Raw genomic sequence first — 27643 nt, 5'->3', positions numbered from 1 at the left:
TTATATATCTAAACAATCTATGAAATTAAAACAATACTAGAAATGACTCTAATTATACGAGGCAGATTGAGGGGGAAAATACTAATATTTCTTGAGTCCCACTAGATGCACAAAATTCTGCTAAACATGAAAAACACACTATCACATTGAATAGAGGCAATGTTATATCTGAATAAAAGTAAGCTGACTACAGTATATTATTAGTTTATGTCTTATTGTTAGAAATTCTATTTGTACTAATTGATTATAATGGCTATAGAACAAACTATTTGGATTTTAACACCTTTTTCATTTGCACTTTATTATATATGGGAGTTTTATACTCAAAATAACTGTTTTGTACTCAATAAATACTTTACTTCAAATCCCATTGTCTTTATCTGCTCAAATACCTTACCATTCAAGACATTCTCAAACTAGAAGATTTCTTGTTGAACTAAATTTTTAACAAAAAGTAAAGAGAAATACATTCCATTGTTGTTTGAGTTTCCAGAATTCAACATTATGTAAATAAAGAACAGGGTAACATAGATCTTAGCTACTGAAGAACATATAATGGAAATATGAAAAACTATGAAACTTGGATTTTATTCTTTTTTCATATGAATGATCATTTTTTTCAGTAGCAGAATACTACTTGTATATGAAATGCAATTGGCTGCATTTTAAAGTCTGGAAAATTGAAAAAATGAACATCTAAATGCATTTACTTTCTTTCAGGCGTTTCCGGAGACAAGATGTTCGACATGGAAATGCAGCTCAGCAGTGCTTTGGACAACAGTTTGTTGGTAATCCATAGAAAATCAGTTGTTCTGGGTTACTCAGAGAATACATTGAACATAAACTACAAACTTCTTAAAAAGAGTCCTTTTTTTCTTTGTGATTCATGTATACTAGAACAATGTAATAAGTATTCTTTTTCTCTGACATGTAGTTAAAATTTTGAAAATTTGACTAATTTTTACCTGATTAGGAAAATAAGTTTTATGTGCTACCACCAAGCTTTATTATTAAACTAATTATTAAAACAAAGAAACCCTAGAACAAGAATGCTGCATACTTTAGGTGGTTGATGCCACAGTGACTCTTATGACTTACCTCTTTATCTCATACTGGGGACTATCTTCACCATGTTACGTACCTTCTGGTGATTTTATCAACTGGTATTACTTCTATCAAGTCATCTCCTAAGCTTTGGGATAGATAAAGTGAAAAAGCTTTTACTCTTTTATCTAAGTTGACCAAGCTTAGGGCTGGGGTTGGTGGTTCAATAAAGGTGATAGGGTGGTGGTAACTGATGGGTTAGGAATGGAGGAAATCTCATCTTTAGGCAAAAGTAAGGAATATAAGAAAGAACTTCTCTGTTAACTCCTGACTCTTTCTATTATGGTAGTGACTGTTGAATAGGCTGTATTTAGTGTCACTGAGCTCACTAGGAAGTAATAATAAGAAGGGACACCATAAATGAGAAACCAGCGGTGGCTATACGCAGAGCCAGAGACTGTGCTCCAGCATCAATTTGTTGGACCCCAGACTGACTCAGGATTCAGTGGAGGACTCAAGCCTCTGGGAATACTAGCAAGAGAAAAGTAGGACCTTCATCTTAGGGAAGTTTAGGGGTCAGTTCTGAAGGTGAGTAGGATTCAGGCATAGGAAAAATAAATCCAGAGGTCCAGTTATTGAATTTGTCTTAGTTTAAAATAAAGAGAGAGTAATCCTGCTTCCTTTTATTCCCTACTGCAGCTAAGTGTACTTGCCTGTGTGCAAATTTGAGTTCAAGTCCAGTAAGAGCCTTTCTGGTCCAAGACACAGATTATAATCAAGCTTTATTTCACAAAGTCCCTGGTTCAGTCTCATATTCTCTTCTCACTACAGCAGCCCAACACCCAGATAAATGCAATCCCTTGTCAAGATATAATCCACATTTGTGTTTATGTAGTGGCATTTTGCCTGCATTTCTGGTGTCTGCTTTTGTTTGTATCCACGAATTTTGTCCTGTGCTTTGGTGTTCCCTTTCTCTTCCCTCAATAGAGGTTGCAATAGACTTTCCATGAGTTTAACACTGATGCTTCTTACTGCCTTGACTATCCTGTCCCATCCTTTGGAACCAGACTCTCAGTTACCTACTTCTGTCCCACCCCATAGCCTGCTTGCTTGTTTCATGCCTAAATTTTGGTATGCCACTCTTTCTAAATAATTCCTTTAAATTACCTTTTGCAGAAATAAGCAATAAGTAATGAGTTAATCATGTTACTGCAGGGATCTAAATAATGTTTGAAAAATTTATTTACCTATAAAATCTAAGTCTCAAAGATGGCATTAATGTTCCTGTTGTAGGGGATGCTTTGGATAAGACTGAAGAACATCTGGCTTATGGCATAGAGAACAACAGTACTTTGCTGGAATGTACCCCACGATCTTTACAAGCGAAAGTTATCTGGTTTGTACAGAAAGGACGTGAGACAAGAAAAGAGGAGGTAATTCATAGCTGCATATTCAAAACATAGTATTTTGCATATAGTGTGTGATCAGTAAATAGATGATTTATTTGGATGCTGAAAAATGAAGCTAGCTGTTGTACTATGCATGCCTTATTTAATAAGTCAGTTTTATTTGTTATGTGTGATTTATATACACACAATAATTTAAATATATATACATATAGATTTTATATACATATACTATATAAATATATATATGCTATACACATACATAGAAATCATTAATTTGGATCTTGGAAGTAAGAATTTTTTAAAGAGGTACTTATAACTCATGATTTTATGGTCATGTTGTCAAAATGATAGTCTTAAATCATGACTCCCAAGGCAGTGTTGTAGAGAAATAGCAAAACTTAATTATCATTAACACATATGTCTTAGACATATGAATAATAACAGAATTAAAATAACAACACAGCTACAACATTAAGCTCATTGTAGAAGAAAATTTTTCAATTATATATGAGACATTGACACAAGGGTTCTTGACCGCTGGGAACAAAGGAAAGACCCCGCTCTTTCATCATCTAAATGATGGGAGAGGAATGACTTGGATGCTTGTAGAGATGGAAGAATAGGCAGCTTTAAAGCACATGTGTAGAATAGGAGGCAGTTACTGGATAAAAGAATGTGAGTCAAGGGCTGTCTATAGAAAGAGTCCAGGGCATAAAGAGGTCCAGGGCATAAAGCAGTTAGGTAAGGCAGATCATGGTGATGTAGGCTTTGAACTCAGTTTCACAAAAGTGGAATTACAAAGATAGCAAGTAGAAAAAAAAATGGATATTTTAGAAGGAGAAATAATATTGAATATTAAATGATGAATATTGAAAAAATTATCCTTGGTAAAGAAAAGGTTGCAAGTTGAATAATGAAAATAAGCTCTAGAGACCTGTCTCTATTACAGAGAAGAGGTAATAGGTGCATTTTGGATAGAGAGTGAATCAATGGAAGGCTTCACCTCGTTTTGGCACTGCAGACTAAACATTTGTCATTGGAATACAAAATTACTGATTCCAAATGCGGAACACTTTGAACTTTTTATTCCTTTTTTCCTAGCCTATCGTGAAATTTAAAACCTAACATGTTTTTAGATCAAAATCATACAGTACATTCTGGGAGATAATTAAATTTGTAAATCCTTGATTCTTTGGACAGGTTTTAGAAAGAAAGTCACCTCAACCTAACAAAGGCTATTAGAAATAATATAGAAATGCAATCAGGAAAGGAAAATTCTGTTCATGATGTCATAAGAATAAACACATGTCCAAAAATGTACAGCATATTGCACTGAGTTAAGTTGTTGATTTAGTATTAAAGTATTTTCCACTTCACAAATCTGAGGTGAAATGGCTTTTTAAATTCCTTGTAATTCCCTTGGCAGAAAAGGACCTGATAATCTTCCATAGTTCCTCCAAGCTGAATGGCTTCAGAAGACAGTGAAGTAATTCTTTTATCAGTGGTTTTCCTCACTCAGTATGTTCTGTTTCTAATTTGGAACTCACCATAATCTGCCTCATTTGGAAATCTTTACCAAATCATTTGACATGCTGAATCCATCAATGTTCAATTATAAGGTTCTTTCTCATATTGTTGATATAATCTACTTCTCCATTCCTATAATTTTTAGTACCTATTTTCAACTACATTCAAATTTCCCCAACTAATGTATTTGCTGATATTTGGACTTTGAATTTACTCTTTGCATCAAAAGTTATGTCATAATCAGCTAATAATAATACTTGGCTTTTAAGGACCTAGCTATATACGGATTGATTTATTCACAATATAAAACAAAACACAAAATTCTGACTTTATTAAAGGCTGAATATACATGATGTATACACAAAGCAGAATAACTTTGCATGTGAGTTCTTAATTTTCTTTAATAACAATTTTTCCACTATTGCCATTTATATGTCTCTTTTTTGTGAAACATAATTACTTTCTTATCAAATCTTTATTTTGATAAGAAATCACTTTCTTATCAAATCTTTATTTTGATAAGAAATCACTTTCTTATCAAATCTTTATTTTGATAAGAAATCACTTTCTTATCAAATCTAGACCATTTTGAAGGATATTTATTTTCACCTAGTTAATTCTTACCTCCTGGGTAAGTGCTTTATAGAGTACCCCTGACGATGCTCATCAGGGTTCATCTCTGATGCTACAAACAAAGAGAAGTCATTAATTTATCAGACCACAGAGTATATACATCTTCCTTTTATTTAACTGAAATTTTTGATTCTGTAATGTCTGCCTGTTCAGATTCAAACTCAGCCCTCTGGAGTTATCCAGAAGCAACATATTCATGTGGATAAAGTTTTTGCCCAAATTAATCTTTAGAAACTGAATTAATCTTTAGAAACATACCTGAATTGTTAGAAAGCACTTAGAAACTCAATTGTCTACTTTCTAAACTCTAGATTATAGTGGTTCTCTCAAATATGCAGTTTATAGACTCCTGCTTTCTTAAACAAAGCAAATGGAACATAATCTCTATATATTTTATTTATAAGTATTTATTGAAAGCCAACTTTGCTAGATACTTCATGTGGAGCATTTTCCCTTGACTTGTAGACCTTATTAATTATAATTAAGTAATAATAAGTTATTAAGAATTATAAATGTAAATTAAATATATAAGATACTATGTATAGCATCAATTATTATGATATCCTGAGAGAAAAGAGACTCATAAACAGAATTGATAACTGAGGCTATTATTTATATGTACCTATTGCAAACAGGAACTGAGTAGGTACCAGGTTATTCCTAGATCTCACAACTGCATGTTAGACATAATTTTCTTCATCTTACACATGCAGAAGCTAAAACTCAGAGAGTTATAGCTCATACACAAAGTTAGGGACAGACCTGACGTTTGAACTCAGGTATTCCTAACTCGAAAGCTGTGCTGTTTCACATTCAGTGCTACAGTACCAAGGACTGTTCTATGTGTATTTTATGGAATATACCATTTTATTATAAAGAATTGTTTTATAGATGAGGTAACTGAGGCACAGGATATTTAATAACTCCCCTGGTTACTTGCAGCCAGTAAAGTAGGTTCAAATCCAGGTGTCTATGTAATTTCTACTAAAACACAAAATCTTCTGAAATCAAAATTCTAAATACAGCTTCAGATGCTTTGGGACATAACACAAATGGAAAACTGCTTATAGCAGAAGTTCTGGGATTCAATTTCTAAAAAATGCTCCTGATGTCAGATTGATCCTTATATAGATTTTTCTTTGTCAGAGTTGAGTGGAGCATGCTGCTGCAGGCTTAATGACAAAGGCATTACTCCTCATTGTCAGATGCCAGAGAACCTGCCCATAATTTGAACCATCGCCACTCTAAGCACTGATGCCAGGAACCATTGTTACACAACATACACAATATAGACATCAATGTATTTCCATTCTCAAATTTCCTTTTCAAGCTTCTACTATATGCCTATTGGTAGTACAAGATGACTTCTATATCAAGGAAAATGTGAGCCACCATTTGAGCCTATGTAGATATAAAATACAGAGTACTCCATCTAATTTTATTGGGTGTTTTTTCACTAAAAGAAATGTTTTATTCATTTGTTTGAATTTATTTATTAAGCACTTACTATGTCCTGCCTTATAGAACTTATATTCTGAAGAATGTGGAAAGAAAATAATAACAATAATGACTAAGAATGATATTAAATATATCAGATAATGATAAAGAAAAAAATGCAAGGGAGATTAAATTATAGGGAGAGGTTAGAATTTTAAAAGGGTGGCCATAGAAGGCCTCACTAAGAAGGTCACCATAAAAGTGACATTTGGAAAAAAAATCTGAAAAAAGTGAGGGCATAGGTCATGTAACAGTATGAGATAAAAACTTTCTGGACAATGGGAACAGCAGATGCTAAGACTCTTGAGATAGGAGCATATGTGATATACTCAAAGAACAGCTGAGTGAAGAGCAGTGTGACTGGAGGTTAGTGAGCAGTAGGGAGACTAATAGACCATGAACCAGAGAGGTGAGGTCAAGGAAAAGCTCACGCAGGGACCTATAGCCATTTCATAGGGTTTTGGTGTTCTGAATTAAAAAGGAAACCATTGTGTATTTTCAGCAGAGCTGTGACATCATTAACATTTGTATTTAAAAAGATCACTTTGGTTATTGTATTAAGATTATAGTATGTTGGGATGGGGATAAAGGTGGAAGTAGGTAGTCATTGAGGTGATAGGAACACACAGTATTAAGTATAAATCTTCATGCTTAAAAACAACTCTTAATGTGTTCATGCCTTCAAGACCAGATGATTTGCAAGTGATTGCCTCATACACATTGTAGCAATGTGCTTTGCTATATTTTTCACTATTAAGAAATGTGAAGGCTGTTTAGCATCTCAGATGGAATACTATTTTGGACCTTCTGTTCTCTTCTCTCTGTTCAACTGTCTGCAATTGGTGTTTTGAACTCAGTAAATATCTACTCGGAGCCTACTTTAATAGGCCATGAATAAATACATCTTAGCTCTTGTGAAGTTTACAGCCTTGTAATAAAGACAAGAGTGCAAACAGATAATTATATGTGTTCCTTAAAGATTCTGTTGAAACCAAGGAAAAAGAAAATTGTCTCAACCAAGAGATTGGGTAGGGTGGTGGCATAATAACCAACTGGGAAACGATTCATGGCAGAGATGACATTTGAGCCACATCTTAAAGGATGAGTAGAGGGTAATTAGTAGAGAGAATAATGTTAGCTTATGTTACAAGATGAAAAACAATATGGTACATGTAAATCATGGCTAGAAATGAGGATGCAAAAATGAGTAGACAGATCAAGGAATCCATTTCAGTTTGTCTCTAAGCCAATGAGAACAACTTAGCTTGACTGTGTACACAAATTATTCTAGAAACTGGCACACAGACTTAGGAGATAAACAGAATGTCAAGAACATTTAGGATGATATTTCAATAGTTATTGAAAAAATTTTGTGCCACATGAACTAAACAGTATTAGTAGAAAGGGAGAAGACAGGTTTCAATTTTTATGAGATAATATTAAGTGGATTTCATATTTGAGAAAAAAGAGAAGCAATCACAAAATATTCACATGTTTATTGTTTGAGTGTCTGTGTGGCTAATGGCACAGTAACATGATTCCAATAATACAGGAGAAGAAGCACGTTTGGGAGAAAGTTGTTGAGTTAACTTTTGGCTGTGTTGAATTGGAAGCTCTTATAAATCATTCAGGTGGAGCTGTCCTGCTGTGTATCAGTGTTCAGGAATATAAAACCCAATGGAAGATTTGGCATGGCAAGAGATGTTGGAGAGACATCAGAAAAAAATGTAGTATCAATTTCAGGGGAATTAATAAAAGTAAGAAGAATATAGCACCAATCGGTACTTAAATATGACTTACTGTGTACCAAGCATGATTAATATTTTTAATCCTTGCAACAGTCCCATGAAGGAGATATTTTTATTGTTTCTACTTTACAGATTTAAAAAATTGAAGCACAGAGAGACTGAGTTACTTGCATAAGATTACACAGCTTGTGAAGTCAGTTTGCATTTGAGCCCAGACAGTCTGGTTTTAATTTGGGGCCCTTAGACACAATGCAGTGATGCCTCCTCTAGTATAGCTTACCTTAGAGAGTGATGAAATAAAAAGCAAAGTGAACTAACTCCAAAAGCAAGGGGAAAACACATATTTAAGGAAAAGTTAGAAGACAAACTAAAAAAGAGAAAGTAAAAGTAGAAAATAAGTTGTAATTATAGTTAGCATTCATTTAGTGCTTACTATATGCCATGCTATTCTAAGTGCTTTATATGTAGTAACTTATTTAGAACTAACAAAACTTCTCTGAGGTAGCTAGTAGTTTTTAAATTACTTTTACAAATTTGGGGGTTACAGGTGCATATTTATTACATTGCATAGTGGTGACTCTGGCCTTTTAGTGTACCCATCACCCAAATAGTGAGCATTATACCCAATAGGTAATTTTTCGATCCTCATCTACCTCTCACCCTCCCACCTTTTGGAGCCTCCAGCATCTAGTATTCCACTCCATATATCCAATTGTACTCACTGTTTAGCTTCCATTTATAAGTGAGAGTGCAGTATTTGACTTTCGTTTGAGTTATTTCACTCATGATAATGTCCTCCAGTTCCATCCATGTTGCTATGAAAGACATTATTTCATTTGTTTTTAATGGCTGAGTAGTATTCCATAGCACATATATGCCACGTTTTCTTTATCCAATCATCCATTGACAGACATTCAGGTTGATTCCATATCTTTATTGCTGTGAATAATGCTGTGATAAACATATGAATGGAGGTATCATTTTGATATAATGAGTTCTTTCCCTTTAGGTATATTCCTAGTAGTGGGGTTGCCAGATTGAATGGTAATCCTATTTTTAGTTCTTTGAGAAATCTCTATATTGTTTTTCATAAAGGTTGTGCTAATTTACTAAAGTTAAGTAAATGGCACAAAATACAAACTAGTTAGTACCTCCAGAGCTGTATGGCTTAAATAAGTAGAAACAGTGAAATTAGGAGGGTGTGGTGTAATAAAACCAGGAAAAAAGGAATTGGATAAGATATATTAAACAATATTCTTTGAACAATGCATAAAACGAGGACCAAGTTTCCAGGGATAATGTGTGAAGTGGGATGTTAAGGCACGATTCATCTAATAACAGGTTAAGTGATGAATGGTGCTCTGTTGAACCAGAAACTGCTAGTTTAGTGTACTCTACCAAAATATTCGAATGACAAAGAGAGAGATCCACAAAGGTAGACAAGAGTAGAAATAAATTTTGTTTTGTTTTCTTTTTAGTAAAAAGGTGACTTGGTCATGTTTATAGGTTGAAAGGAAGTAGCTATAAAGAAGAAATGTGCAACTAGTTGATGAAGCAAAATAAAGAACATGTGGGAGAGAATATAATCACAGGCAAAATTTAAGGGGTAAATTCTTAGAAGGAAAACAGAGACTCTTCACTCTCTGAATTAGGAGAAAATAAAATGATTCATTTATGTGGATAATGTAATTTCATCAACAGAAGTTAAGTTTAGCAGTTCCAAAGGTCTTCTATCTTCATTTAAATTCAGTGGCTATATATATTTCCACATATAGTTTTAATCTGAAATACAAGCCTAAATCTTCCTTCTATGAAGGGTGTATAAATCATTTTTTTCTGTAATAGCAGAGGACAAAACTGTTAAAATTATAGCCAAATCACCACTATACCCTGGTTTATGAAGACTCAATTTCTGCAATTCCACATACTTGAATTTATGAACCTCCATAATAACTACAAAAATTTTAATACTGAGTAACATCCCTAAGTGGAGAAATTCATTCTTGTTGAGACATATAGTTAAGGTCATATAGTTGAAGTATTTCTGTATGCATTTCTCTTTCTATAAAATGGATAAGCACTACATTTTAAAACTGAGTAAATGAGGAAAAATTTAAATATGCATTATTTATTTAAATGTAAATGGTTATTAGTGATTGTGTGTAATTTCAGTTATAGTAAAGAAAACCATGGCTTCTTCAAGCTGCTCAGAAGATTAGTACCTAATTCCTCACTTCAATTTCATACACATTTTAAATGTTCTGTCTTAGGAATATGTTATTTTTAATCCATATTTTTTTTAAAAGTAGGTTCCCCTGAACCTGACAATTATTTAAAGCAGAAATTGAAAAACCAAAGACTTGGGGGCCAAATCTGGCCCTCTGCCTATCGTAAATAAAACTGTATTTGAAAACTGCCACACCCATTTGTTTACCTAAAGTCTGTGGCTGTTTTTAGGCTACAACTGCAAAGTCGAGTAGCTACAACAGAGACCACAGGACTTGCAAAGCCAAAATTATTCACTATATAGCTCTTTACAGAAAAAGTTTTTGATCCCTGATTTAAAGGCTGAAATGAAAATGCATACACAAGTAAAGCCCTATAAAATGAATATTATTGTGAAAAATGCCTCTATTTTGGGGGGAAAAAGTCTTTTTGTGCAAAAGTTAGCTCTCACTTTGTTCTGAAACTAAAACTAAAATTTCATTGCAATGGATTTTCAATAAAATCAAGCAATGTGAATAATTTCTTGGAATACATTCTTTTGGAGTTCAGTCATTTGCTGACAAAATCTAAGTATATCCCAAAGACACAATAAATGAGATTGAGTTCTAGGAGTGAGTTAAATCAATTTACACAAATCTCCTGTAGGGGAATTTGGGGGCAAACTCAAGACACATAAAATATCATCTATGCCTATTTTGGGGTGGTGTAAGGCAGACAAGAAAACTGCTGGCCCATAAGACCAGCATTATAATTTGTAGATCTCTTTGGTAAGCATGAAAGAATTATTTTTTCCATGATCATTATTGATCTTTTTATTGTGGATTCTCTATTTAAGAGGAAATATGTGTTTCTGTGTCTTAAAAATAAAGTGTATCACTTTAAAATAGTTAATTGTATGCATTATATAGACTGCTTACATAATGCACAAATATGCATGTTTATTGTAGTAAATGCAAAAAAGAATGTATATTGACAGAAAAACTCTTAAACTTTAATTGTGCTTTGCTATAAATTTTTTGTTTTACTCAATACCAAAATTGGCATTTTTCAACTCTGCCTTCAGACTACTTACAAGGTAGAATAAATTCACCAAAGTCAATTAAACGCTGTTGAGTAATCTAATAACCATGGTTAGCTTATCAATGAGCAGCTCATTCCACATAACTTAGAGTTCATTGCCTCTGTGCTAAGTTTCTATAGTCTAAAATAAAACATAATTTTATTGATAATTCAATGCGTTATGGAGACAGCTTCTACAAAAATGAAACAATGAAAAATGGAGTGCACAAATTACAACTTTTAATATTGGGTTATGTCATCGAAGCTAGGAGAATTATGAAGTAAAATCTCCTTTTTATTTTACCATTTTGTTTGTTACATGACTCATATTTTCCTAACTTTTACCAATGCTATCCTATGGTAGTAACTCCAAGGGATCAAAGCCAGCCATAAGTTTACATTTTTATCTTTATGCACAACACTGAAAGCATCAGTTTTTGTTCCCCATTAATATTATTTCTTTGTTTTTCTTGTTTTTATAATGTAAAGTGCATGAACTCTTGCCTCATTTGAACCATCTGTTTCGTAGTTTTGGCATTCTTTTTCAGTCTATTTAAAAAATGTGCTCATCTTTCTAAACTAACAACTCTTTACAACAGGTAAATATTCAGAATTTACTTTTCTAGCCTTGACAAACATATTTGTATAATATCATTTATCTCATTTTTTAGTTGCACAATAATTAGGAGGCTAGCCCATTAATTTCATGTTTCTTGCTTTTACAATGGCGGAGACAGAGTTCCTATTGTATAAATGGAGAATATAAAACAACTTATGGTCATAACAAGAGGAATGAATCTAGAGTTTTTAACTGAACTCTGTTCTGTTAATTTTCCAGGAGAATATTGAGTATATTTCAAAATTAAAACATTTTCTCTTAGATCTATGATATCAGTTATGGATCTAAGTCTCATGCCACTGACACCATTCTAGCTTTGTGCATCTGATTAAACCGGATAACATGGTAATGCAGAAAGCCCAATGCACACATGTACAGTAGATACTCCAAAATACCAATTCCTTTCACTTGCAAGTTCCTTTTGTTCTAGTATAAATTATAATTTATATGGTCTTCCAGATCATAAAAATATGCGTGTGCATGAAGATATCCCAGTATAGAACTGTATATCTGGACTACATTGTTTTAACTCTACAGAATAGCTATAATATTGAACTATTATCAGGCATTATCTCTTCACCCTACACTGAGATGTTGCCTAAAGGAAATGTATTTATTATGGTGCTGTTGTTGGAAACCTCCCTCTCTTTTTATAAGGACATGCAGAGAGATTTTTCTCAAGTCTCAGTGCCAGGAAAGATGTACTTATCATAAGGAGTAATTTTAAAAATATATTTTAGAGACATTTTAAATCTTAGGATTTATCATACTTTCTTCTTTCCTTTGGTTACTAGGAAATTTAGTATTGAATTTCTACTTCAATTATAGTTGTTGTACAGTTCCTTATATTGTGCAATTTTGTTTTCAAACATTGTCTTTACCTTCATTCTTTTTAAACTTAATTTCTCTTCAGTCTGAGATTCTTATCTATGGAAAATTTGAATAAACCATTAATCACAAACCTCTCTTTACAAACTTAGTTTATTGGTTGTCAAACCGCATTAATCATTACAAACAACAGGAGTTTTTGTTTTTGGTTTTTATTTTTTGCTTGCTTGATTTTGGCTCTTGTTTTTTTTCACTTCAGATGCATAATTTACTTAATCATACGATTTAGTTTATGGTACATTGTGATGATTGGTTTATACAAATTTCTCTTGTTTGATTTTGTTTTTCCTGGACCTCCTTTTTCTACTTTCATCCTTGTTTCTCCATATGCATCTGTTGAATGATTGGAATAAGTCCAATAGTATGTTTGCAAATTGAACAGGTATATAACATATTGAGTATGCATGAACTGTAAAAGTAAATGTATTATATTATAGATTATATTCTCCTTCTTACTTTGTGAACTCAGCACTATGTTTTTACAGTTTATCCCTGTTGCTGTTTGTGTCTCTATTTCATTGCTTGACTGTTACTTAACATACCATAGCATGCATACATTGCTCTTAATTCATTCTTAATTCCCCTAAATGTGGACATCCAGAGTGTAATTAACTCTTGCTATCACATCTTTGACAGTCATCTCTGCAAATAACCCCTTATAGATCTGAGTGGAAGTTTCTGCATTATTATTTGTCAGCATCCTTCATTTATGTAATTATTGTCAGCTTGCTCTCAGGATATCTGTGCCATCTGGACTCCCAAAGCAGTTCATGTGGGTTCCTGTTTCCCCACATGCTCACCAACATTTGGTATTATCTTGTTTTCTAAGTTTTGTCTTTCTTCTGGCTATAGGGTAACGTCTTGTTTAAATTTGAATTTCTTTCTTTCTGTCTTTTTTTTTTTTTTTTTTTTTTGAGACGCAGTTTTGGTCTTGTAACCCAGGCTGGAGTGCAATGGCGTGATCTCGGCTTATCGCAACCTCTGCCTCCTGGGTTCAAGCAAATCTCTTGCCTCAGCCTCCCGAGTAGCTGGGTTTACACCCATATGCCACCACACCTGGCTAATTTTGTATTTTTAGTAGAGATGGGGTTTCTGCATGTTGGTCATGCTGGTCTCGAACTCCCAACCTCAGGTGATCTGCCTGCCTCAGCCTCCCAAAGTGCTGGGATTACAGGCGTGAAACACCGCGCCCGGCCTAAATTTGAGTTTCTAACCTTACTAGTGAGGTTGAATGTTAACTTGCATTCTTACTAAACATTTGGGTTTCTCCTTCTCTGAAGTGCCCATTTATATGCTTTTTCCATTTTTTCTTTTTTATTTCTCTTTTTGTTGACTTGAAAAACTCTTTTGCCTCTTCTAGACATTAATTCATTCTTGAATATAAATGCCCTAAATTTCTCCTTTGATATCGTGTATGTTTTTGAATATAACATGTTTTACATGTTATGGTTTTGAGTTATTTATAATGACTTTCTTTCCTGCATAATCTTGTATTAAAATAAGCGTTGTTTTTCCACATTTGTTCTTCTCCACGTAGTGTGATAGGTTTCCCCGAATGAGCTTTTAAACAATTCATCCTGTCTACTAGGTAACCATCAGTATCATATATCAGGTTTATGTTGGAAAGTGTTTTTAATAAAATAAATTTCTATTTTTATGCTCTGTCATATTAGGTATATTTTCTGTAAGTAAAATAAATAAATATATATACATATGTATGTGTGTATATGTATAAAATTGGTCAAAGGCAGGCCAGATAAATAAACAAACAAATATATAAATTGTTTCCTCTATTTCTTAACTAAAACTGATTTTATTATTAAATGTATTCTCAACTAAATCAATTCAAGGCCTATGTCTGTCCTTTTCCTGTGAAAGTATGGAACCATATGGTTGGTAGACATGGAAATAACTGCTTCTTCCTGACCAGCTACCAGATGTTCAGAGTTCTTTGTTCAATTACTTTTTTTTTTACTAGAAATTATAAAACATACTGAATCAATCTTTATAGCTAAGAATAATAAAACCGTTTTCAGCAAAAATTTTGTATTTATATAGATTGCCTATAAGAATATTTGATAGAAATGATGTATTATGCACTATCTTCTTGACAGAGAAAATCTGGTCTGCAGACGTAGAAAAAAACACAGATGGATGAAAACAATTCTGTAATCAAGATTTGATGTTGGAGGTACCCAAGTAAACTGACAGGGAAAGACTAAATTGTGGAAGAACTTCAGATACAAATTTCTAAGTCATTTTATATTTTTGGGTATTTATAGTCCATGTAAGATACCTCTAACTTTCTAGGTGATTTAACCTACATAATGTATGGCCCTCCAGACCGAGCATGAAAACAGCTTATATTCCTGTCTTTGTAATGTGTATTTGTCATAACCAAGAGTGTAGATCAAAATTCTGAGAGGCACTATCTCTAACATGGAAATAAACAATGTAGGACAATTTCTATGGTAATTGTCATGATTCCGTATCTTGTATCTTGACCAATCTGGACTTTATATGTACATAATACAGTGTTTCTCAAACTTGGGTTTCTGATTTTTTTTAAACCCTGCTTTTTTAACTTACCAAACTTGAAAAAACAAGCAACAAACAAACAACCCTAATTCTAGTGGTCAAGAATTTGTATTTATTTTTAGTTTTGCTTTTTGCTTTCTTTTAAATCACTTTCATAAACTGCTTGCTATATGCTGGAAACTAGGCTAGATCACTTTAATATTTTCTCATGTATTATTCACTCTCACAGGAGATATAACAGAGACAACAAAAGATCATATTCAATAAGGATGTTTGTATGCATTTTTTTTTTCAGGTAAAGGCAATGTCCTAAGACGTATCTGTGATGTAGCCCTCTTTCATCAGTTACTAAGTGCTCCTGAAACCATGTTTGCTCCTTCTTATTCAAATTATTATTGGATTTACCTGGAAGTTTTTAATATCTTTTGGATATGTCTGTATGGATATACCCCATTGCTATACATGTTTGTGCTCTAAAAATGAATTAGTATGTTCTCATTTTACACTATCTTCTGAATTCTTTACTCATTATAGGATAATTCAGAAGAATAAAGAAATAGGTCTTTGCCCTTTAAAAACTTATATGTTTGAAGAGATGAAACTTGTGTGGAAAAATAATTTGAAAAGAAATATAAATAACAGCTTTTGTGCTACAAATGTAAATGGTATTGTGTTACAAAAAGAAGCAAAATACCTTTAGGGGCTATAAAGGAAGTATTTATAAAGGAAGGGAAAGTTTAGTTAAGCCTGGAAGGAAATGAAAAAACAAATGGATTGGTAGACAGTAGAAAGGAGTTTATTTAAGGGAAAAAGAGTATGTTCAGAGTAAGAGCTGTGAGTGGAAAGCAGGGTGGCGATACACGGGAATGGCAGCATAAAGAATTATGAAAAGGAGGGGTTGATTCTGGTAATGTACAGGTTGCCCCCACCACCTGCCCTTAAAAGTGAAACATCTTCCTGGGCTGCTAGCACGATTTATATTAATATGTTCATTAAATATTCACAAGAATAAAACAACACATACATTCCTTACGCTTGTAGCTTTTATTAAAATATTGAACCAAAATTAAAGATAAATTATAAACAAATTGACGCATCATTAAAATGTTTATTTACTGTGTGTTTTGTTTTTACTGAAATATGTATCTCTATGGTTGTAAGATGAGACACAGATTGCCACATATGTGTATGTATAACACTTTCTGCCTGTAGCTATACCATGTGATGACTCCATCCTCCCAACACTTTATTCAAGTGACCTTGAAACTTTTTATGTGTATTACTACATGGGGATGTTGTTTCATTTTCATTTCGCTGTAACTTATCATTAACATATTATACCATCTTTGTTCTTTTTATCATTTGGGAACATGGCTTTGAAAGTGGTTCAGAATCTATGATAAACATAAACACTAACACTGAGATTGATCTTTCACATGATTCCAAATATAGTTTATTAATTCATATTGATTTTTGTGTCAATAAACACAATAATTTAAAAAATCCTTATAGAAAAAAGAGCTGATCTCCACATCCCCACAAATGCACCTCTTCCACCAACGCTAGTTTGAGAAACACTACATTAAGCAATTTTGGGTTCTAGATTTACAAAAGCAGGATCTGGTTAATGGAGCAATTCTTACTGCTCAGGCAAGAAATAGAGATCTGAATAAGTTCTAAATCAGGATGTTGACAAAAGAAAGTGAGCTTTAAAGAAGAGTAAATTAGTATCCATTTGTTGAAATAAGGGGGGAAAGATGACACAGGAAATTTAATTGAAGGACTATTGTTAGATACTTGTATGTAATGTTGCATGCTCAAGTATATGAAGGTTAACAGGCGAAACGAAGGTAATAAAGGAGGGAGGACACTTTTACAGGGTGTGAGAAAGGCCAGTTTGGGAAGATGATATTTAATTCAGTTACGCAGGATGAGAATTAATCAGCCTTAAAGAAGTATCTGAAGGCAGAGATATACACAGAGATCCTGAAACAGAATCAAGCTGGGTATGAAAGAAGAAACAGAAAAAAAGGGAAGATTTGGAGAGTTTGTCATGAGATAAGGTCAAAGAGACAGTTATAAGGTATGAGAATTTAACATTGCAGCAAAAATGGTGATGAGGAAGGGGTGTTTTAAGGGTCACCACTGAAGAAATGTAAATAGGAATTTGTGATAGCATATAATGAGAGAGAAGTATAAACGATCAACAATTGAGGATAGGGAGACTAGAAGAATAATGATGTCATGGCCAGAAATAGGAAAGTTAGTAAATGGAGGGCAGTTTGAGTGGGAAGATACTGAATTGTACATATTAAAGGGTTATTTATGTTTCTTTAATTAAAAACACCAAATCCATTGTTTTTGGTTTTTAACTAACAGAAAACACAAAACAATGGATTATCTATGTGTAAGATGTACCATTTTAGGGAAGCTGGCTGAAACAAAGGAATAAAAGTACTATCAAATGGATGGAAATAAAATGTAAGATCAGTGAAGGATGGAGGATTGCACCTTAAGGTAATGAGAAATCTGCAGAAGAAACCAAGAAAGAGTAAGGAAAATAAGGACAGTATAATGGCACATACCTCACAGAAAATAAAAGATGTTTAAGGAGGCAGATTTCATCCATATCAAATGCAGCGATAAATTTTAAAACACTGGAGGCTTACTTCAGAGTCAGTATCATGTGAGGCACGGGGTGGTCATAGGTTGCAATAGATGGTAAAGTTATGGAGAAAGCTAGTGCTGGAAAATAAGTTTGTTCAGAAGCCTGGCCTGGAGGCATGAGTAAACAAGCAGAGGTACACAAAGTCCTTTAAAAGTTAGTTGCCTATAACAGTTGCTAAGGATATTCTGAGAAAAATGTATCAGTAAAACAGATTGTTTCTATGTGGTGAAGATGATTTTGCTTTGAGGGTCTTCTTGGTTCCTCACTGGAGGATTTCACTCTCCAGTTAATGGCTACAGCATTCTGCCTACCAGGACATGGTCCCACCAAGTCAAGGGAAGCACCTGCAAAAGACTTATGGAGACTCTTTTATTAGCCCAACTAGGACACTCTGAAGCTTCTGAGTTATTAACTTACTTATAATGGCTGAAAAAAATGCCTTTGGGGCACCACATAACTTAAAAATAACATCCCTATTTCTTACTATATTACTACATTTTGCCATCTGTTCCACAAATCGTGGTTTGTGGATACCAGTTTCTACACCTGAGTAATCACATTGAAACTTCATCTATGCCAGGTCTCATCAAGGCAGGAAAGAGCTGAGTCTGGCATGCCTGGCCAGGACCTATCACAGGGACAAAAACATGCTTATCATTAATAGCCTTTATTGCCAAATTGTTTGTAATTATTGCCTCTACATTTCTTTTATATTGACAAAGAAGAATATTGCTTTCATTTTTGTATTCTCAAAGGTGAAATCTGTCAGCATACTGTGAACCACCTTTATACCATTATCGTAAGATCCTGGGCCACAGGAAAACATGATTGTTTTTGGTTAGATGAATGTATAGTAGAAAGGTAGAGGTAGCTATTGATAGCACTGTGCAAAAAATCCTCACCTATTTTCTTTAATCTTCACAACAATTTTTCAGGTTATTAAGTTATCTCCACTTTACAAAGAAAACTAAGGCAAGAAACATACATGAATGCCCTAAATCACACAATAAATAGTGGTGGCAATATTTGACTCTAACTCTGCCTAATGTCAAATCATTTACTTACTAGTCCAGCTATTTGTGATAAAACATGAGCTATTCGTTGAAAGCCTTATCTTGCTCTTCTTACTCTGAATTATAATTATTTATTTATAGAAATAATGTGAGTATTATATCAAATACATGACAAAAGATATTTGAGCACTGAAGGTATATTGAAACTTAATATTTGCTATTCCGTCTGATCCTTTAGAGCAGGAACTGGATTTTACTTGTTTATTTTTTAATCTCTTGTAAAGGACAGCCTATGAAAATGTAAGGGATGTTCACTGAACTGATTAACTGATGAATTTTTTTGTAAGACGACAAAGTGAAAGGAGCCCAGTTCTCCAAAGAGAGGTCCTTGTAGAAACATTGGTCACTACCATCTGGAGGGCATAATCATTCCTGAAAGAATGTGGGAAGTGGTATTTGTTCTGTCCATTGAAAAACAAATGTTAAAAAATAAATTTTAGAAATTTTCCTTTCACTCTTACTGTGACTGCTATATTGAAATGTATTTTTTCTAATGATTAATTGAATCATTAGGGAGAAAACCCTCTTACTTTACAGTATTGATATAAAATGATCTCAAGGTCATTGATATGAAGTGACCACCAATGTAAATATCTTCAGAATACACACACACACACACACACACACACACAGAGAGAGAGAGAGAGATGTAATTATTTAGCATTTTTGTGTATGTATGATTTTCAGGGTTTCATTATGTGACAGTGAAAATGAAAAAATTCAAGATAGGTAGTGGAAAGGGTGATGGATTGTTATTTTCTCTCCTGTGTACTTCAGTGCCATTTACTTTTTTGTTTTTGCAGGTGAAGACAGATGACAGAGTGGTTAAGATGGACCTTGGTTTACTCTTCCTAAGGTTACACAAATCAGATGCTGGGACCTATTTTTGCCAGACAGTAGAGCATAGCTTTGTCCATACGGTCCGTAAAATCACCTTGGAGGTAGTGGAAGAGGAGAAAGTCGAGGATATGTTTAACAAGGACGATGAGGAGGACAGGCATCACAGGATGCCTTGTCCTGCTCAGAGTAGCATCTCGCAGGGAGCAAAACCATGGTACAAGGAATTCTTGCAGCTGATCGGTTATAGCAACTTCCAGAGAGTGGAAGAATACTGCGAGAAAGTATGGTGCACAGATAGAAAGAGGAAAAAGCTTAAAATGTCACCCTCCAAGTGGAAGTATGCCAACCCTCAGGAAAAGAAGCTCCGTTCCAAACCTGAGCATTACCGCCTGCCCAGGCACACGCTGGACTCCTGATGGGGTGAGACTATCTACTGTCTTTTGAAGAATTTATATTTGGAAAGTAAAAAAGTAAAAAAATAAATCATCCAACTTCTTTGCATTACTTAAAAGAGATTTCTGTAATACAGGAATGACTATGAAGGTGTTATAATAAATTATTCTACATACTCATTTGACTGGATAAACTTTACATAAAATTAACTAATTTTTTAAATAAATGCATTGCTTAATGGTTTCTCATTATGTTTATCAAAAAACAACTGTAGCTGTTATTTTCAGTACTTGGCTGCTTTTCTGTGAAAATTATTATTTTACTTTTGGAAGACAAGATTATTAGAATATTGAAGAAAAATTGGAGACTTATAATCATGGTAAATATAAAACTAAATATGTTTTAATATTTCTGAATTTTTCTTTTCCATCACAATGTAAGATATGCAGAATACAAGATACTTTGGCATTCTCATGTGAACTTTCTGTACTCTTTAAGGATTATTTTATTAGTGTTGTTTAAGCCATGAGTGTTAAGTAGCAGGTGTGTTGTGAGTGCTGTAACCCATGAAAGGAAAAATGTCATTCTGAGGCTTGTGCCCTTCGTAAAATATTCATTAAAGTACATTCACACTATTTTTGCTTTATAACACAGTCTTTAATTTTCACTCACTGTGGAAATAAAAACTAAGGTAACTTCTCAGAAAGATATCAAATCTCAGAAAGAATGTCAAATCAGATGAAGTTATAGTTAGGATTCTAACTACTGTAAAAGATTTTTGCTTCCCTCTTGTGGTAAAAAAAATTATATTCTCACACATTTCTTTTTTCTCTACAGACGGATATCTGTTTAGGAAAGATTTGAAAGCAGATTATCAGTAGGTACATGGATACATCAAGTTCATTTGCAGAAACAAATAACTGAAATAAAAAACATGTTAATCCTTGTATCATACTTTAATATGAAAGTATTGTTTATAGATAATTTATCTCACAAGTCAAAAATGAAGATTTTGCAGCACTGAAAATCTATTAAAGCTCCAAATTTTAAGTTTCTAAATAATCTTCGCTGAAATCTAAAATATACTATAACAACCGTGTTTTATTTGTGAAAAAAATATTAAAGTGATTTGCTCTCAAATATCAAATTTTCTTCTCTCTTTTATATTAAGAGACAGAAAATTGTTTCATGAGTTCACTTAACTACTGAGATATTCAGAGCATTTTTACCTCTCTCTTAAATGTTATAAAAAACAATTGTATTTTTAAGAATGTTTATTTATCAAAGTCTTTCCTTCTTCTATTAAATATTTAGCAATTACCTTTCTAAAATATGAAATTTTGTAAGATGTTTTCACCTAAATAAAAATTGAAAGCAAGTGGATTACACAGGAGAACCATTATGAACATTTATTTAGATATTAATCTTAAACAGTGTTTATTTCAGTTTTCAAAGTTAGCTTATAGGTTATACATTTAAGTTAAAGTGCTCATAATCACTTGCAATTTCATTGTAAAATGAACAAATACATAAATATTTTAAGAAAAATTTAAGTTTATTCAGATAAGTCACCATGCTTCAAAAGATCTAAGAAATGCAAATATACTGAAAATTGACATCCTCTGAAAATTCCACTTGCTATTTACCCAAGAATCCACTGGAGGTCATTACTGCCATTAAATAATAACTGAAAAGACTATGTAGTGAAATGTATTTTTAAAAACTATATTCAGTAAAAGCCTGCTCAATTTGGAGAAATAGAACCACAAACACAGATCACAGGGGCCTTACAAAGTTTATGTCTGAACAAATAAGTCAATTAAGTACACTTTATTGAAAATTGCCTTCCATTAACACACAAGAAAGAAAGCAGGATTTTCTCCTGTATCTGAATTTTAAAATTAAAAAGGCAGATAAGACATAAATAGTTATCATTTTAATTGCAATAACACAGACAAGTAGTTAATGATGATAACAATGGTGTAACTTGTAAACTAAATATTTGGTAACTGAAGCAATAGGCAGAGGAAAATAGCTTTTCTATGACACAAGTCATAAGAAGTCCATATACTGAAGAGCGTTTGATTAAAATAAAGTGACTATTAACCAGAAAAGAAACATTTTACATAAAATGCTAAAATTTATTATAGGAAAATAAATCAAACCCAAAGAAAGTTTATTCAATGCTAATTTGAAAGAAAATTGATAAGAAAACTTTGAGGGCCCAAGTCCACAATTTGGTGAGACCACTAAATTTTACATATAATTATACACACACATATGTACATATATATGTATATAATCTTGCTTCCCGCCTGTTTATGGCAGTACTGAAGAGAAATGGGAAAGAAGAGGGAGGGAGAGAGAAAGACGAAGGGAGAGAGAAAGCAGTTTCCAAGGATATGTTTCATGTCCCACCATTTTCTCAGTTTCTCCCTCTCTCTCCCAACACACACACACACACACCCCTCACATACTATAAAATAAATCTTCACTGCCCTATCAAAATACAAATAAATCAATCTATGCTGTTCTGTCCTTCTTGAGAATCTAAAACATACCACAAAAATACATCCCCAGTCTTTTGTTCTGTCTGAGGTTAGAATTAATTCAAATTCAGAATCTGTTGTGAGAAATGCCCAGGCTTTAAAAATTAAAAATGGATGGATCTTCTCTGAACTCAGGGAGGGCACATACTTAGATACCTACAAGACTTGGAGGAATTAAGAGTTCACCCTTCATCTCACCAAATTTTCCCCATTTTTCTCTTTCTTGTAGAAGGAGAGAAACCATGCTCTCTAGCAACATTGAGCAAAAATCATAACCACTCATCTAATTTCTAAGAGGCACCTCCATCGAGGGCCGGTCTCCTGCTTCTTTAGACCTCTTCTATCTTTGTTACAGGAGAGGACCTGTGGATAGACTTAGTTTTGACATAAAACAATGCCCATTCACCTCCTCCTTCAGCACAACGTCACCCATTGGGCAAGAGATCCAGATTTGTTAACAAAAAAGATTTTACTTCGTGATTCCACGTCTATAATTCTATATTGCTAATTTTTTCTTTTGTGTGAATTACTGAATATTTCAGAGCAAAGCTATCAACTTGGAGAAACAGGGATTAAAAATAAGGATAAACACTAATAAGAGCTCTAGAAAAAAGGGAACAGAAAGTCTGCCTGTTTAGTAAGTGGCAATTCCATACATATTTTAGAGTTTTTTCTATCTAAAATTAGTTAAATACTTAGAATGTTTGTAATGAGTGTTCGATATTTGCTATAGGTTTTAGGGTTTTGTAAATCTTCATAGTAATTATAAACATTTGTAAAATTTGTAAAATACTATAAGTCATTTTGAGTGTTGGTGTTAAGCATGAAACAAACAGCAGCTGTTGTCCTTAAAAATGAATTGACCTGGCCGGGCGCGGTGGCTCACGCCTGTAATCCCAGCACTTTGGGAGGCCGAGGCGGGTGGATCATGAGGTCAGGAGATCGAGACCATCCTGGCTAACAAGGTGAAACCCCGTCTCTACTAAAAATACAAAAAATTAGCCGGGCGCGGTGGCGGGCGCCTGTAGTCCCAGCTACTTGGGAGGCTGAGGCAGGAGAATGGCGTGAACCCGGGAAGCGGAGCTTGCAGTGAGCCGAGATTGCGCCACTGCAGTCCGCAGTCCGGCCTGGGCGACAGAGCGAGACTCCGTCTCAAAAAAAAAAAAAAAAAAAAAAAAAAAAAAAAAAAAAAAAAAAAATGAATTGACCTGTGACACCTGTAGCCTAATAAACATATTAAGAAAAGTACTTAGTATTGTATAGATATTTGGATTCCAAGAGAAAATGCAACATTTATAATAAGAAGTCCATACTCTTTTTCTTACAGCAGAGCGTCACACTGAGTTCCATTTTAAAAAAGGACTCATTTTTCAGGCCAACAACTGTTGCATTTGAATCAGATATAAATAATAGATTTTCCACAAACACTCAGCTGATTGTAGCAGTGTTATTTAAGCTGGTATGTTTATTTTTTTTTTCTTGGAAGGATAGCTTTATATTTTGGCTTTCATTATAAATTGTGTTCTGCTTGTGTTTAAATGGCTTACTTATAAGCTAGAGCACTATATGGGAGTGTTCTTCTCTGTATGGTATCCTTTTATTTGCTTGGCTGGGTTCATAACAGTGTGTGCCATATTCTTTCTTTTCACTGATTCTAAGCCATGAGACTTATTAGCATCTGGTGGCAAGCTGCAGGGACCATTAACAGTGTGTCTCTTTGACTACAACGTGGATCTGCCACTACGCGCTATGTACCATTATGTACAATCTCTATTTGGCTCAACTTCGATGAAAAAGAAATAAATATTTGCTAAACTCTCAAGTGTCGTCTGGGGAGCATTTTCTAAGTTTTTGCCAACTGAACTCAAGTTTTTTATATTAAGCCTAAATGTAAACATACAATGCCAGACTACCACTGTTTTTTTTGGATTTTTTTTAGAAGTTAGAAAAGAATTCAGTTTTCTTTCCTGGGATATTTATAAGCCAAGTTTCCTACAGAGGAAAAAGTCTGTTAACTTCATTACCTTGCAGCAGTTGGGTTTATTTATGCAACCTCGTGTTGCTAGGACCAGCAGCCAGAAATTCCTTTCAAAGCTTCATCATCCAGATAAGAGATATGAAAAATGAAAGTTTTTAGAAGGGTAACTCGTTGAATGTTTACGATTTTTGCAAGCCTCAAGTTCTAGCTTAATGTATCTGAATTGCTATTTTCTCTGTTATTTTTATAAGACCTTGGGAAGGCCATTTAAACGAAGTGTGGTGTTAAATAAACTTTTGGGGGCGCATTTTGTTTCTGAGGCAAATTTTATTGTATTGGTAAGTAATTAGTTACAATGTTTTAAAAGAAAAAATTGGCAGCAGCTCATGGAGTGTGTCTCTGGCAGCTTTATGATGTGACAATGACATTAATGGTAGTTGTTTATCATATTTCAACCTTGCATTCATTTATAATATAGGCCTACTTTTAGTATAGTATTTGATGAACGAATTGAAACTGTTCTTCAGATACATTTTCAGTCTTTAGTCAGAGGAAGAAGAGAGACAGTTATGGTAACTAGAAATCTGTTGCTTACTATTCAAAGGAAACAAAGGTATCCACCCATCTTTGTATTCAAAAACAGTATGCCAGGCACTGAACCAGGCACTGTATAAAGTCTAGAAATGTTAATAATCCCATTATTACACAGATAAATAAAAATTAAATTATGTTTTTAGAGACTATGTTTGCAGTGTTTATTGGAAAAAAATCCCAAATCTTCATTTTACTTTATAGTGCATGAAATGCAACAACCGTGTAGTTTAATACAAGCATTTATTCTTTCAGAAATACAGTTGGTATACACAGGGGATTAGGTCCAGGGCTCCCATGTATACCAAAATTCATGAATACTCAAGTCTTCCGGTCAGCCCTGTGAATTAAAATACAAGAAAAGTCTCCTGCCTCTGTATATGTGGGTTTCATATCTTATAAATACTTTATTTTCCATATGCATTTGGTTGAAAACAATTCACATATAGACGTGCCTTTGCAGTTCAAACCTGCATTGTTCAAGAATCAACTGGACTTCTAATTATGAATGTTGAGACTCCTGGTCAGGATGACATTTAGAAGCCAGGCTTTGGTTCAGAGGAGTTGCAATAATGTAGCAATAATGAATGGTATATAAAAAGAGAAATAGTTTAATAAAAAAGAAAGAGATCAACATAGAAGCATAACATCTTTATGAATCTGCCCCTACATTTGCCTTCTTCTCATCCATCTTTACCCAGCAGCCAAAGTCATCTTTCTACCACAAATTCAATCCTTGTATAACTCTATTTGAAGCCATTCATGACTTTTGCATGGTTGATATGGTTTATGAGCCAGTAATGGAACATAAATGCAAGGCAATGATTGGGCTTGAAGCCATAAATCTGGACACGTGTTCAGCAGAAGATAGTGGCAGCAGGAAGCCCAGATCCTGAACAATGAAAGGAATACATATGATAGATGCCAGGTGAAATGTTAGGACTTCTCACTGCTTTGGGCAGATACAGAAGCCTGAAATCTGGGTACCTACCATTGCCTGGGGTTTTGTCATATAGGAGCTGCATGTAAAGCCAGCTAAGGCTAGGATACAGACTCATTGCAGGTCCCAGGACTGACTTAGCCCCCTTTTCCTCTTCACTTCTCTTCATGACCTGGTATCCCTGGAATATGAGACGCCCAAGTCATCTCAGTACTAGAGCCTAGAATAGCCAAAGAGCCTTTTCTAGTTTAGTAGCCCTGAGGTAGGGATAAGGAGGTGGACGCAAAAGTAAAAGCTACAGGCAAAGTACTAAAGACTGAATTCTGTCACATCTCTCTGGTCACCCCTAATTCACATGTTGAAGTCCTGACCCCCAATGTGGTAGTATTTGGAGATGGAGTTTGGGGAGGGTAATTATGGTTAGATGAGGTCATGAGAATGGGGACCTCATGATGGGATTAGTAGCTTTATAAGAAGAGGAAGGGAGGGAGGGAGAGAGAGACAGGGAGAGAGAGACAAAGAGAGAGAGAGAGAGAGAGAAAGAGAGAGAGAGAGAGAAGACTGGAAAGTTACCGTCTGCAAACCAGGAAGATGACCCTCACCAGGAACCAAATCTGCTGGTACCTTGATCTTGGACTTCCCAGCCTCCACAACTGTGAGAAATGTGTCTGTTGTTTAAGGCACCCAGTCTATGACATTTTGTTATAGCAGACTAAGCAGATTAATACACACAAGAAAGCACAGAGATAGGTGGGGAGATTAAGGATAAACAGAAATACTAGAACCCACAAACAAAATATTTCAAAACATCTCAAGATATCTAAAGTTAAGTAAATAATAATACCCGGGAAAAGTGATGAAAAGTAGCCTCATGTATGACATTCTGAAGGTCCATAGCTTTTATTAATTATTAAAAGGATAATTGACCCAAAGGTCAAGAACAACTGTACTAGTAAAATGTATCACATTATAAATTAAGACATATGACCAATGATGTTAAATGACTTTTTAAAGGTAAAAAGAAGATGCAGAATGAGAAGAGAAAACAATTCTGTTCATCAAATGTTGTGCATTCTTGTAAAGAACACACTGTACATCTTATGGGATGAAATTTAACATAAAATATTGTATATGTCCCAGCAGAGCCTCAGAATGTGACTATAATCAGAATGAAAACTTGCATTCATTATAGCAATCTATAGATATCTTGGTTCATTGCTCCTCTAGCCCAGGATGAAAACATAAAGTTCATTGCTTTAGCTGAATAAAAGAATAAATGAATGAGTGGATGAAGAATGAACAAATCAGTCAGAGGATAACATCATTTAGATTCAAGTAACAAAATACCAATAAGAAGTTATTTAAATGAAGAGGATATGTATTCCCTAATGTAACTAGAAATCCAAAGGAAGGCAGTCTCAGG

The 27643-nt window shown here is 33.9% G+C and overlaps 1 protein-coding gene across 2 annotated transcripts in view; it reads left to right on the top strand.

Moving 5' to 3' along the window:
• Positions 1 to 24533, top strand: part of SEMA3E (semaphorin 3E) — a 285902-nt gene extending 261369 nt beyond the window's left edge. For both annotated transcript variants that reach the window (NM_012431.3, NM_001178129.2), the window contains exons 15-17: positions 721 to 788; positions 2338 to 2477; positions 19733 to 24533. In NM_012431.3, coding sequence (NP_036563.1) covers positions 721 to 788; positions 2338 to 2477; positions 19733 to 20185 — 661 coding nt within the window. In that variant the 3' untranslated portion in view covers positions 20186 to 24533. The remainder of the gene's footprint in view (positions 1 to 720; positions 789 to 2337; positions 2478 to 19732) is intronic.

The sequence above is a fragment of the Homo sapiens genome, chromosome 7, assembly GCF_000001405.40.
Source record: "Homo sapiens chromosome 7, GRCh38.p14 Primary Assembly".
NCBI classification, from domain to species: domain Eukaryota; kingdom Metazoa; phylum Chordata; class Mammalia; order Primates; family Hominidae; genus Homo; species Homo sapiens.
The sequence above is the reverse complement of the archived record's forward strand: the minus strand, read 5'-3'. Positions and strand labels throughout refer to the sequence as shown.